Genomic DNA, 15,279 nt, shown 5'->3' on the forward strand with positions numbered 1-15,279 from the left:
ATACTTTATTCTCATTATACTTCCTTCCAACATACTATGCAGAACAGTATTCTAGCATTATTCTTGTATTAATCCAATGAGTTAGATATTATTATTATTATTATTAATTTTTTTTTTGAGACAGAGTCTTGCTCTGTTGCCCAGGCTGGAGTGCAGTGGCACGATCTTGGCTCACTGCAAGCTCCACCTCCTGGGTTCATGCCATTCTCCTGCCTCAGCCTCCCAAGTAGCTGGGACTACAGGCACCCGCCACCATGCCCGGCTAATTTTTTGTATTTTTAGAAGAGACAGGGTTTTACTGTGTTAGCCAGGATGGTCTCGATCTCTTGACCTCGTGATCCACCCGCCTTGGCCTCCCAAAGTGCTGGGATTACAAGCGTGAGCCACTGCGCCTGGCCAGAATTAGATATTATTATTATACATAAATAATATTTATTTGCATTTACATGTGTGCTTCCACTGAATATTGGTTTTTGTTTGTTCTAGAGATGGGGTCTCACTATGTTACCCAGGCTGGAGTGCAGTGACTATTCACAGGCATGATCTGGTGCACTGCAGCCTCAAACTCCTGGCCTCCAGTGATCCTCCCAGCTCAGCCTCCTAAGTAGCCGGGACTATAGATACATGCCATCATGCCCCACCTGAATTTGTTTTAATCCTTTATTTTTTTCTCAGTCCATCTACTAGATCAAACATCCTTTAGATGTTTCTTTTGTTTGCGTCTCTTGATAGCAAATGCAGTTCCTAGTTATATATAAATTTTCACTCTGGTTTTGAAAGACAGTTTTACGGATAGGAAATTCAAGGATGACAGTTATTTTCTCTCAACATTTTGGAGACACTAGTCTACCATCTTCTGGCCTCCCTGGTTGCTGTGGAGGAGACCGATGTCATTTTCATTTATGTTTTCTTTATCAACGATTTTTAAATCTTCTCTTTGTTCTTGGTATTCTGCAGTTGCACTGCTTATATTTAAAGATTAATTTTTTTTTATTTTTCACTTTTGAGATACAACATGGTTTTTGAACTTGTCCTTTTTGAGATACAATGTGGATTTCTTTTCATTTTTCCTTCTTGAAAAACAATGTGCTTGGCATTCTCCTTGAGTGATTGGATTACCCTTTCCGTGTAAGTGTGAGGCTCAATTCTGGCCGGTTAGACACTGGCAAGTTTTCAAGCAGTAGGGGCAGCTGGTGAAAATTCAGTAGCTAATAAAAAGAAACAAGCTGGGCCAGGAGTGATGGCTGACACCTGTAATCCCAGCACTTTGGAAGGCCAATGCGGTCGAATTACATAAGGCCAGAAGTTCAAGACCAGCCTGGCCAACATGGTGAAACCCTGTTTCTACTGAAAATACAAAAGTTAGCTGGGCATGGTGGTACATGTCTGTAATCCCAGCTACTCAGGAGGCTGAGGTACAAGAAGCACTTGAACCTGGGAGGCGGATGTTGCAGTAAGCCGAAATCGCTCCACTGCACTCTAGCCTGGACAACAAAGCAAGATTCTGTCTCAGGGAAAAAAAACAAGCTGGATATCTGCTTCTGGCATTATGGCTGACCTAGTAGAAGTTTTCTACACAAATGGTCAAGTACTAGAAGGAATATATGGAGACATTAAACTGTAAATTTCTAATGGTGGTAGATTTATGGAAGAGTAGTATTTTTTTGAGATGGAGTCTCACTCTGTCACCAGGCTGGAGTGCAGTGGTGCGATCTCAGCTCACTGCAACCTCTGTCTCCAGGGCTCCAGCAATTCTCCCACCTCAGCCTCCCGAGTAGCTGGGACTAAAGGCGTGCACCACCACGCTTGGCTAATTTTGTTTTTGTATTTTTAATAGAGACAGGGTTTCACCATGTTAGCCAGGATGGTCTCGATCTCCTGACCTCATGATCCGCCCGCCTCGGCCTCCCAAAGTGCTGGGATTACAGGCGTGAGCCACCGCGCCCAGCCACGCCTGGCTAATTTTTGTATTTTTTAGTAGAGATGGGGTTTCGCCATGTTGCAGGCTGGTCTTGAACTCCTGACCGCAGGTGATCCACCCACCTCGGCCTCCCAAAGCGCCAGGCTTATAGGCTTGAGCCACTGTGCCCAGCTTTTTTTTTTTTTTTGAGATAGGGGTCTCACTTTGTGGCCCAGGCTGGTCTTGAACTCCAGGGCTCATGCAGTCCTCCCACCTCAGCCACCCAAGTAGCTGGAATTACAGGCATGAGCCACTGTATCCAGCCAAAGCCCTCTTATTTCCAGTTTTACAACTCTACAAGAATAGTAACTGAGGGACAATAGAGGAAGATCTATATTTCACTTGTACTGAGTGTACCTCTCATTATCTACTACTAGTTTTATCATCTCTCCTATGTCCTCAGCCCTTTCTCTGTACCTTAGGAATACGAGACATTTTTTCTTTCATTGCAAACAGTGCAAACTGCTAGCTATCCTGAATACAAATTGGTTGGGAAGAGCTTGATTAAAAAAAAACCAACATATAGTGCTTCCTTATTTCTTAGATGCATTTTTTTTTATGTTTAAATGCTTTTGAAAAGAGAAACATATATTAAATGTACTGGGTCCTCCTGCCTGCCTCTTGATCCCCCCCAAAAAAGCAATTTTTAAATGGATGATTTATCTTAAAATTGAAGACATTTTAAAAAATCTAGAAAACATGGTCTATGTCTTATGTCTGTCATTTGCCAATCCCACTCCCAACCCAGGTAAGCCTAGCATAGTGTGTGCCATGTAGTAGGTGCTCAAAATATATTTGTGAATGACTATATGAGTATATGTAGTAAGATGAAATTTAATGAGAACATGCACTGCCTTCTTTCACGTTTATTTTTTCCTTCTTCCACATATTCTTGTGACTACCCAGTTAATGAACTGCTTATAGGAAACAGGAGGAAAACTGACTTTACCATGGGAACTAAGTGCAGTAATTTCTTCGCATTATGTATCATTTTTATTGTGCTATTTTTAACTTTAAAATGTCTGGATGTCAGACCTTGCTTCTGGGGAAACATTATTGACAAAGGAATTGCCAAGCAAGTTTTAAAATGTTGAGCAAGTACTTGTCAATAATTAATGTCATGCTAATTATAAATTCAAACTAGATTCTTGAACCTCAAGGTGAGCCATGCTTATGAGAGTTGGGTGACCTGCTGTGGCCCTAGACATTACAGAAATCATTTAAGTTCTTTCTTCTCTGCAGGGAAGCTTAACTTGTATTTCTGGTGGTAGTGACTAAGGCTGTAGGGCTGGGCCTTGGATGGAAGGCAAGCAGGAGAACTGAAGGTGCACAGGCTTCGAAATCCAGTGAAGCTGGGTTCAGACCCTGACTTGAACACTTAGTAGCTGTGTGACTTAGCAAGTTAAATGGTCTCTTTGAGGCCTCAGTTTTCCTATCTGTAAAACTAAGGTAGAAATACAGATGTCAGAGGTTGGTATGAGAATTCAGTGGGGATAACTTGTTCAATGCCCTTTGTGTAACTCAAAAAAGCAAGTACTCTTTCCTTCCTTATCTCTTTCCTTCAGTCGCTTAAGATGTCAGACAGGGCCACGTGCAGGGGCTCACGCCTGTAATCCCAACACTTTGGGAGGCCGAAGCAGGTAGATCAGGAGGTCAGGAGATCAAGACCATCCTGGCTAACACGGTGAAACCCTATCTCTACTAAAAAAAAAAAATACAAAAAATTAACCAGGTGTGGTAGTGGGTGCCTGTAGTCCCAGCTACTCAGGAGGCTGAGGCAGGAGAATGCTGTGAACCTGCGAGGCGGAGCTTGCAGCGAGCCAAGATCACGCCACTGCATTCCAGCCTGGGCAACAGTGCGAGACTCTGTCTCAAAAAAAAAAAAAAAAAAGGTGTCAGACAGAAATACTTACTCACACCATAAAATATTTGGGGAGTGCTGAGCTTGAGTATCCTGCCTTCATAAATACACTCTATCATCTACCCCTTCAACTTAGCAAGAGTCCTGTCATTAGAGCAGAGTTATCCTATCTTCAGGATTTATGAATGACTTCTATCATTTTTGCCATATTAACATTATTAAGGAATATTATTTACTTAGGATATTTATTTATTTATTTTGAGATGGAGTCTCACTCTGTCACCCAGCTGGAGTACAGTGCTGCGATCTTGGCTCACTGTAACCTCCGCCTCCCAGGTTCAAGAGATTCTCCTGCCTCAGCCTCCTAAGTAGCTGGGATTACAGGTGCCTGCCACCACGGTCGGCTAATTTTTGTATTTTTAGTAGAGACAGGTTTTCACCATGTTGGCCAGGCTGGTCTTGAACTCCTGACCTCAAGTGATCCACCTGCCTCAGCCTCTCAAAGTGCTGGGATCACAGGCGTAAGCCACCACACCTGGCCTACTTAGGATATTTTAGACTTAGCCAAAGATTTAACAGCTGTGAAATCACAAACTTGATGTTCTGATTATACACATATACATATATAAATATGCAACTTTTATAATATGTGTTAAAATGAAAAAATATTATTACCTATTTGTGATTCACCTACAATCATGTCATGTACCACACTGGTATGCGTTCAGCATATCAGTACAGGAGTCCAAAACTACTCTAGGTATTTTAAGTAGAAAGGGATTTAATATAGGGAATTAGGTATTGACAAAACCACTGGAAATGCTGGAGGATGAAACTTGGGGCTGGCCCTTCAGGATTGACTCCCCGAACACTGTAGAACTGACCTGCCAAGGGAACTCTGACTTCAGGGAGCACCACTGGCCCTGTTGAATTCACGAGCATGCTGCTGCAGCTGCAATCCAGGGATGCAGAATCTGCCACTGCTATTGTCACTCCCACAACTGCTCTCCAAATCTATAAAGTCTGTGAGTGGGCACTGTACATGGAGTCCAGCCTCTGATGATGCATGATTCCCTCTCAACATCCAGGAGGCTGAGGGAAAGACACTGGAATGAATGTTGCTTTAGAGAAACCCTGTAATTCCATGACCGTGCTTGTCAGCAGAAAACAGGCAGAAAGATAGTCTCTTTTTCATGCCCCCCTTTCAAATCTCATACAATTATGTACAAGTGATAGAAATGAATTTATATTAGGAAGCTTTGCTGGAAGGAAGTCTGGAAAATACAATTTTTAGCTCTCTAGCCTCTGAAATATAAGAAGGCACACTGGAAGGGCACTTGGGTGAAACAGTCTGAGGCGTCCACTACAGACCACAGGGAATATACCTTGTTTCAAGGCACAGGAGCTTGTACATAAAAGCTGGAGAGCAGGGCTTTCATGCTCCCCTAACCTTACTCTTCTTCTTCTCTGCCTTCCCACACTTCTTTGTCTGGCCAATTATCACTACTTGAGGGCTTCATTTACCAAGCTGTACTGGGGATAGCTCTTTCGCTTCCTTCATTTTATTTTATTTATTTATTTATTTTTTTGAGACAGAGTCTTACTCTGTTGCTCAGGCTGAAGTGCAGTGGCACTGTCTTGGCTCACTGCAACCTCCGCCTCCTGGGTTCAAGCAATTCTCTTGCCTCAGCCTCCTGAGTAGCTGGGATTACAGGCGAGTGCCACCATTCCCAGCTCATTTTTGTATTTTTTTTTTTTTAGTAGAGACAGGGTTTTACCATGTTGGCCAGCTGGTCTTGACCTCCTGACCTCAAGTGATTCACCTGCCTAGGCCTCCCAAAGTGCTGGGATTACAGATGTGAGCCACTGGGCCTGGCCTTGTTTCCTTCTTTTTAACATCATTTATTCATTTTCTCATTGTGTTCAAGGTCAAAGTGAGAAGGAATCAGCCAGAAGTTCTCTCTTTTAAAAAAAAAGATTTTAGAGACGGTGTCCTGTCCTGTCACCCAAGCTGGAGTGCAGTGGTGCCATCACAGTTCACTGTGACCTCGAACCCCTGGGCTCAAGTGATCCTCCCACCTCAGCCTCCCCAGTAGCTGCAATTACAGGCACACGCCACCAAATCCAGCTAATTTTAATTTATTTCTCGTAGAGACGATGGTCTTGCTATGTTGTTCAGGCTGGTCTCGAACTCCTGGCCTCAAGTGGTCCTCCTGCCTTGGCTTCCCAAAGCAATGGGATTACAGGCATGAGCCACTACACCCAGCCATCTTTTTGTTTTTTAACATTGCACATGGTCAGATTTGATAAGCTTCACTGTCTCTATCTCAGTTGCTAGTGATTGGAGAGAACTCTATCATCTTCAGTCCATTAGCACAGTGGACATTCTGAATAGCGATCCCATTTAAAATCCTACAGAACACTGAACGAAACAAAGGACTCAGTCTTGAGAGGTTAGATCTCACCAGTCTTAAGAGACTAGAGGCTTTGGTTATCTAACTATGGGAAAGCTTGCCCCTGATTTCTGCTCTGGCTCTACTCTGGAATACGGAGATTGGTCCAGTCAACTGGACACGTGGGATTGTCTTGCTAACCATGAATATTGTATTTCAAGCTCTTTGTTAAGTGTTATAAACTGCCACTTGTTTGAGTGACAAAGAATTAGGACTGATATTTCCATTTAAGTGAAAAATCTGAAGACTGACATTTTGTGCTAAGTGACAAAAATGGCAGCAAAGTCAACCTAAATGGTCTAATAAAAAGAACAAATGCTAGAGAAGATAATTAATCACTCAATACCAGGCCGAAGACAGGAGTGCAGGGGATATGATATACTAGTCAAGTAAACTAGCTCTGCAGTCAGCCTTCTGGGGTTTGGATTCTGGTGACCTTAAGCACAGTACTTCATCTTGCTAAGCCTCATCTTGCTAAGCCTCAGTCTTCTCATCTGCAAAATGGAGAGGATAACATTACGATCCTCATAGAGTTGTTACTGGAATTACCAGTGCCTGGCATATAGAATGTGTGCAATAAATGTTGCTGGACTTCCAGCTATGGGAGAGTAAGGAAACTGATAAATCATCTCTCCCGAAAATAATTATAAAACTGGATAAAATTGTCAAGGAGTATCATTTTAGGGTTCTGGAAACCAACTAAAAGCAAAGAACAAATTGAAGAGCATATATCCACCCAAAAAATGCTGGGCTTTGGGCAAGAATGAAGGTGTCTCTGGCATTCTTGCATGTTCATTCCTAAGGATCCCTCTCACCCCCAGCTTGGTCAGCACAGTAATTTTACCAGGGTGGAGCTGGCCTTGAAAGCCAGCAGCAGACAAAGTGATGACTTGATTTGGAGTGAAGGGCAGGAAATCTATGCCCAGCGGTGAATGAGAAAAGCCTTCAGCTCTCCTAGCCTGAGGCTGCAGTCTCAGGTGAGGAAGCTCCTGGAAATGAGATAGCCATTGAAAACTCAGATACTAAGCTCTCATCCTCAGATGTCTGGGTGCCTGTACACATGCAGTAGAGACCCAAGAGAGCCTAAGAGAAAGCAAAGGTGAAGACAGATTTGAAAACTTTTCAAACTTGGAATGCACTCCCCAAACCAAACACAAATCCACAGCAAAGCATGGAAACCTTGCAGGCTCAAGGTGTTTGAGCATAATCTCTCACCAGTCACTGGCTGATAACTCAGCTACGAGACATAGGGTCATTCTTAGAAAGACAGGTAACACAGGAAAATAAGAATTTTTTTAAAACCCAAACTGAGAAGAGACATTTTTTTAAGACCCAAACTGAGAAGAAGGCAGCTACACACTGGAGTGATCCTTTATGTAGAAAATCCTAAAGAACCAACAACAAAATGACTAGAATAAAATAAGGGTTTAGCTAGGTTGCGGGAATATAAAAATCAATTGTATTTTACATACTAGCTATGAGCAATGTGATACTGAAATGAAGAAAACAATTTCATTCACAATGGCATCAAAAAGAATTCACAATGGCATCAAAAAGAAAAAAAACCTAAAAATAAATTTAGCAAAAGAAGTATAAGGCTTTTATACTGAAAACTACAAAATATTACTGAAATAATTTTTTAAAGCTCTAAATAAATGGAGGACAGTCCATGTTCATGGCCAGGGAGACTCAATATTGTTAAGATGGCAATTCTACCCAAATAAATATATAGATTCAACCTAATCTCTATTAAAACCCCGAAAGGCTTTTCTTGAGGTGGGGATTGAAATTAACAAGCCTGTCTGCAGATCCAAAAATGTATATGAAAATGCAAAGGACTTAGAATAGCCAAAACAATTTTAAAAAGAAAACAAAGTTGAAGAACTTGCATTACCTGATTTCACAACTTAACTATAAAATCATATTAATCAAGGCACATAGTAATCAAGATAGACAAATCACTCTGTGGAACATAATTAAGAGACCAGAAATAAATCATTACATTTATAGTCAAAAGATATTTGACAAAGATGCCAAGGCAAATGAGTGGACAAAGTATAACCCTTTTAACAAACAATGCTAGGACAATTAGATACACATATACAAAAAAATGAATTTAAACCCTTACTTTACTCCATACACAAAAATTAACTCAAAATGCATCACAGACCTAAATGTAAGAGCTAAAACATTAACACTTCTTAACAAAAAATAAATAAAAGAAAATCTTTGTAACCTTGGATTAGGCAAAGATTTCTTAGATGACCCATAAAGGAAAAACTGATAAATTGGACTTCATCAAAATTAAAAACTTTTGTTCTTCAAAAAACACTACGTACAGCTTGGGGTGGTGGCATGTGACAATAGTCAATAGCCATGAACCAATATTTTGCCCAAGGTGTCCTTGAACTCTTATCTCAAGCCATCCTACCACCTCTGCCTCCTTAGGCCAGCCTGGGCACAATAGTGAGATCCTATCTCTAAAAAACAAAACAAAAACCTACTCAAAAACACTGAGTAGAAATTTAAAGTCACAGAACAGGAGATGGTATTTGTAAATCAAATATTTGATAAGGATCTAGTATTCAGAATATATAAAGAACCATTATAATCCATTAATAAGATGAAAAACTCACTAAAAATGGGCAAAAGATTTGAATAGACATTTCACCAAAAGAAGACACTTGCATGGCTAATAAGCACCATGAAAAGATGCTCAACATCAGTTGTCATCAGGGAAATGCAAATTAAAAGTGCAGTGATACCACCACATACCCACAGTAAAGGCTCTAGTCAAAAAGACATTGACAACAGCAGATGTGGCAAAGATGTGGAGAAACTGCGACTCTCATACATTGCAAGTGAGAATGTAAAATAGTACAATTGCTTTGGAAAACAGTTTGAAAATGTCTTAAAAGGTTAAACATAGAGTTACCATTCAACCCAACATTTCCACTTCTAGGTATTTAACTAAAAGAAATGAAAACATTTGTCAACATATAGACATACACAAATCTTCACGGTAGTGTTATTCATAGTAGCTAAAACTAGAAGCAACCCAAATACCCATCAACCACTGAATGGACAACAAAATGCGATGTATCTGTACAATGGAGTACCATCCAACAATAAAGAGAAATTGACCTCTGATACATGCTAGAACATGAAGGAACCTCAAAAGTATGCTAAGTAAAAGAAGCTAGACATGAAAGACTAAGTATTGCATGATTCCATGTATGTGAATGTCCAGGAACGTCCAGGATAGGCAAATCTATAAAGACAAGAAAACATAAGTAGTTGGCTGGGCTGGGAGAGGAAATTGACTGCAAAGGGCAAGAGGGAGCTTTTGTGGGTAATGGAAATGTTTTAGAACCTGATTGTGGTGATGGTTGTACAAATGCATAACTCTACTAGAAAGCGTTGAATTGTACACTTACAATGAGCGAATTTTATGGTATGTCAAATGTACCTCAATAAGCTGTTAAAAAGTGTTCCAATTACCTGAGAAGATAATATGTTTGAATAGAAACCCATCAAATGTTTGACAGAGCAGAAAATTCGTCTATTACTTCTCAGCCTCAAACTACATCCTTACGCGTGGTCAGATTCAGCTACTTAACAATGAGTGTCTGTTAGTTATCAGAATCATCAGAAGGTAGTTTTTAAAGGGTCCATCCCAAATCTTCATTATTGTAAGAAAAATAATGCTTATGATAAAAAATTCTATTGCTGGTGAATCAGAATCTTTTTTTTAGAAAGAGCAACATATTCAGGCCGGGCATGGTGGCTCACACCTGTAATCCCAGCACTTTGGAAGGCTGAGGTGGGTGGATCACTTGAGGTGAGGAGTTCCAGATCAGCCTGGTCAACATGGTGAAACCCCATCTCTACTCAAAATACAAAAATTAGCCGGGCGTGGTGGCGGGTGCCTGTAATCCCAGCTACTCAAGAGGCTGAGGCAAGAGAATCACTTGAACCTGGGAGGTGGAGGTTGCAGTGAGCCGAGATCGTGCCACTCCAGCCTGGGCATCAGAGTGAGGCTCCGTCAAAAAAAAACAAAAAACACATATTCATCCATTGATTTTGTTTCTCTGCCTGTATACATACTCAGTGGAATCTAAAATGCTTAGGATTATAAACAAGAAAACTGGGACCCAAAGATCACACCATTCTTTAGAGGCAGAGTCAGGAAGACTGGAATCAAGGTCTTCTAAATAATCATCTATAATGTTCACCATCACACCAAATTGCATCTTTACTTCTTTTTCCTTTGAAGACACACAGAACCATATTCTCCTCAGTACTTTGTGGGTATCTCAATATCAGTGAAAAGAAATTACTTGGCTGGGCATGGGGGCTCACGCCTGTAATCCCAGCACTTTGGGAGGCTGAGGTGGGTGAATCACCTGAGGTCAGCCATGCCTGGCTAAAAATACAAAAATTAGCCAGGCATGGTGGCGCACGCATGTAGTTCCAGCTACTCAGGAAGCTGAAACAGGAGAATTGCTTGAACCCAGGAGGCGCAGTGAAGTTGCAGTGAGCCCATTGCGCTGCTGCACTCCAGCCTGGGCAACAAAGCAAGATCTGTCTCAAAAAAAAAAAAAAATTACTTACTGAGGAAAATCACAGAATATTAAAGCAAAAAGGGATCTTGGAGTATATATTCATCCAAAAAAATGCTGGACTCTGGGCAAGAACAGAGGTGTCTGTGGCGTTCTTGTATGTTCTTTTCTAGGGGTCCCCCTCACCCCCACACCAGCTTGGTCAGCACACTAATTTTAACTTTTCCTTCCTTCCTTCCTTCCTTCCTACCTACCTACCTACCTACAGAGTTTCACTTTGTTGCCCAGGCTGGAGTGCAGTGGTGGGATCTCAGCTCACTGCATCCTCTGCCTCCCAGGTTTAAGCAATTCTCCTGTCTCAGCCTCCTGAGTAGCTGGGATTACAGGCGCGTGCCACCACGCCAGGCTAATTTTTATATTTTGAGTAGAGATGGGATTTCACCATGTTGGTCAGGCTGGTCTTGAACTCCTGACCTCAGGTGATCCACCTGCCTCGGCCTCCCAAAGTGCTGGGATTACAGGCATGAACCACTGCGCCCAGCATGCTTTCTTATATAAATTAATATTTTCCTCTGATTTCTGTTTGTCTTGTATTCTTAAGATTTCAAACTTCCTGCCCATCCCCCTCCAGCAGAAGTTCTTTCTACCACATCATTAACAGATATTCATCAAGTCTTTAAAAAGTTCCAGGTATGATGTGGCAGACACTGGTAGCTGCCTGTCCAGTAGCCTTGCCCCTACCCTATTCCTTGGTAGCAAAGCCCACCTTACTTCTCGGAGTCTAAAAATGCTACATATTTACTTTCTCAGCCTCTCTTTTGACTAGTGCATGAATATGTGATTAAATTCAGGCCAATGCTACCTAAAAGGAATTCTTCAGGAGGGTGGGGCTTCTGCAAAACTTCAGACTTGAGAAACAGCAAGAGTGAAAGAGAATATCATTTTCCTTCTTGCCTTTGGACCTTGTGTGAGGATGTGATTCTTAGAACTTCTGTAGGTACCTTACAACCATTATAGATGACACTTTCAACAATAACGTAAAGACAGTGGACTGGAAAGACGGAAAAACCCTAAATTCTTGATAAGATCATTGAGCCATGTGTGAACTTTGTCAGAATCAAAATGGAGTCACTTGTGTTAAAAAAACAGGCTGGGTGAGATGGCTCACACCTGTAATCCCAGCACTTTAGGAGGCCGAGGCGGGTGGATCATCTGAGGTTGGGAGTTTGAGACCAGCCTGACCAACATGGAGAAACCCTGTCTCTACTAAAAATACAAAATTAGCTGGGCGTGGTGGCACATGCCCGTAATCCCAGCTACTCAGGAGGCTGAGGCAGGAGGATCGCTTGAACCCGGGAAGGGGAGGTTGCGGTGAGCTGAGATCGCGCCACTGCACTCCAGCCTAGCAACAAGAGCGAAACTCTGTCTCAAAAAAAAAAAAAAAAAAAAAAAGATAAAGAAAAACTTATCCAGGTGTGGTGGTGCACACCTGCATACCCAGCTACTCAGGGCGCTGACACATGATGATAGCTTGAGTCCAGAGTTCAAGGCTGTCGTACACTATGATCCTGCCACTGCACTCTAGCCTAGGCGGCACAGCAAGACCCTGTTTCAAAACAAAAACAAGACCAGTCGCCGTGGCTCACATCTGTAATCCCAGCACTTTGGGAGGCCGAGGAGGGTGGATCACCTGAGGTCAGGAGTTCGAGACCAGCCTGACCAACATGGTGAAACCCCATCTCTACTAAAAATAAAAATTAGTCGGGCGTGGTGGCACATGCCTATAATCCCAGCTACTCGGGAGGCTTGAGGCAGGAGAATCGCTTGAACCCGGGAGGCGGAGGTGGCAGTGAGCCAAGACTGCACCACTGCACTCCAGCCTGGGCAACAAGAGCGAAACCCTGTTTCAAAAAACAAAAACAGAAACAAAAAACAAACAAACCACAAAAAGCCTCTGACAAATAGAGCTGGGAAAAGCCAGGAAGAGAATGATTCTCATGCATAAATGCCTGATAACAAAAATTATCACAAAAGACTGCAAAACCCACAACTTTGTACAAAGGCCATCACGATCTTACATAAAAAATCCTTCTGCAAGGACTTGTGCCTAGAAACTGCTTGTCCAGCCTCAGACTGGTGTCACCCTTGTTATTGATCCTTGTAGCCAAGGATAATTATTTCAAAACAATTATGTAATATTCCTCATTTGTCCTTAAAAAACCTTTGTCTTCTTGTATCTTCCTGAATATACACACAGTTTACTATGGCATGTGTATTTCCATTGCAATGCCCTATTCCTGAATAAATATCACTTTCTTTTAGAGAACATTTCTCTGTTATTTATGTTGACACATGGACAACCCTAGAACCACCAACCTCCAGTCATTGAGTTAAGAGAGGGAATTCATGTCCTAAGCTTTCAGTCAGTTTTAGTTGGGTATTCTGCCCTTGGTAGACATAGTATAATACAGCGGTCCCCAGCCTTTTTGGCCCCAGGGACCAGTTTCATGGAAGACAATTTTTCCACGGACTGGGGGTGGGAATGGTTTCGGGATGAAACTGTTCCACCTCAGATCATCAGTCATTAGATTCTCATAAGAAGCACACAGCCTAGATCCCTCGCATGTGCAGTTCATAATAGGGTTTATGCTCCTATGAGAATCTAATACTGCTGCTGATCTGACAGGAGGCGGAGCTCAGGCAGTAATGTTTGCTCACCCGCCGCTCACCTCTTGCTGTGCCACCCAGTTCCTAACAGGCCACAGACCTGTACCAGTCCTCAGCCTGGGACTTGAGGACTCCTGGTATAATATAGTACAGTGGTCAAGAGTGCAGACTGTCTGTGGTCAAATTTCAGTTCTCATGACTTAAATAACCATAGGCAAAGAACTTAACCTTTCTGATCTTCATTTCTAAATGAGAATAATAATAGTAACCTACCTAATAGGTTGTTATGTTGATTAAAAGAGTTAATACACAGAAAACACAAAGAAGTAGTGCCTGGCATCCGTAAGCAATCAGTAAGTGTTAGCTATGATTATGCTGCTAAAAGCATGCTCACCATTACATGTGAAGAATTTACATAAATGTTGAACCACTCTAATTATTAAGTGCTTTCTTATATAAACTAATATTTTCATCTGACTTCTACCTGTCTGTCCTGTATTCTTAAATAATCATAAAGATTATTCTCGCCCTCTTTGTATTTTTGAGCATTTGGTATCATGTAACTCCCCTCCCCATCCCCCAAACACACACACAAACCCTTTCTCTTCTCCACATCATATACTGTCTTCTCAATTTCTTCAACCACCTTTGTTCATTATTTTGGCGCTCAGTCTCTGAAAACTCTCTAATATGTCAATGTCTCTTTTGAAGTGTGGTAGTTCGAATTTTCAGTTGAAAAGTATTTATTGAGTGTTCATTATATGCCAGGCTGGGCATCATAATCCAGTTATAGTCTGGTCAATTCTGTGAGTGGATTAGATCTTGAATATTATATTAATCTAGCCAAAGGTTAGCAAATACCTGGTTATCCTTACCACTTCCCTTTCCCATACTCGTGGTAGACATCACTAATCAATCACAGCATTTTTCCCCCTACTGGACTCAGGACTCTCCTTCAGGAACCTATGATTAAAATGAAATTGAATCTCTCACTCCTGGTATAAATAAAGATTGCACTAGCTTTATAGTCAAATTATGACACCTGAAATATTTGAATCTTTTTCTCAGGTACTGTTCACAAAGCCAGATCTAATTCATTAATGCATCTGTAAATGATTTTTTTTAAAAAATGTTTTTCCTTCTGATCTCTGTGTATTTATTTTTAAAAGGTTACAATCAAACTATTGTGTTGTTTTCACTTGATATTTTCCAAATTATTTCATACTTTTGCAATCATAGCATCAAGAAAAAAGTTAATATAAAGATTAACTGTATGGCAATAATTGACAACTGTTACTATAATATAGAGCTTTACACATATTCCTGTTACATTTTTAATAGCTTTATTGTGATACCTAAACCCACTTTTTAGTTTTTTAGTATATTCACAGGGTTATGTAATCGTCACCTAAATCCCTGTTAAATTTCATCATTTTATTTTAAACTTATTTTTTAATCCCAAAATTCTGCCATTTATTATGTATTTATTTATTTTAAGAGATGGGGTCTCACTCTGTTGCCCAGGTTGGAATGCAGTCATGCCATCACAGCTCATTGTAGCCTCGAACTCCTGGGCTCAAGCAATCCTCCCACTTTGGCCTCTCAAGTAGCTGGGACTGCAGGTACACACCACCACACCTGGCTAAGAATTCTGCCATTTAGACTGCTTGTTCTTGCTTGTATGCACGACCTCTCTTTTTCTCTGCTGTAATAAAGTGGCACCAGACAAGGTTAAAACCATTGTCAGGTGGCTACAGGTTGAGGTAGCTCCATCCA

General features: G+C 41.3%; 1 long non-coding RNA gene across 1 annotated transcript in view, besides 1 other annotated feature; it reads right to left on the reverse strand.

The window, feature by feature from the left end:
- Positions 1 to 15,279, reverse strand: part of UCHL1-DT (UCHL1 divergent transcript) — a 36,654-nt gene that overhangs the window by 18,889 nt on the left and 2,486 nt on the right. The gene's annotated exons all lie outside the window — the stretch shown is intronic.
- Positions 3,661 to 3,887: a silencer, noted in NCBI's record as "fragment chr4:41244640-41244866 (GRCh37/hg19 assembly coordinates)". NCBI's record gives its function as "represses an EF-1alpha promoter that drives an FKBP-Casp9 reporter gene in an ReSE screen in K562 erythroleukemia cells {active_cell/tissue: K562}" and the evidence as "EXISTENCE:reporter gene assay evidence [ECO:0000049][PMID:32094911]".

The sequence above is a fragment of the Homo sapiens genome, chromosome 4 (genome assembly GCF_000001405.40).
Source record: "Homo sapiens chromosome 4, GRCh38.p14 Primary Assembly".
Taxonomy (NCBI): Eukaryota; Metazoa; Chordata; class Mammalia; order Primates; family Hominidae; genus Homo; species Homo sapiens.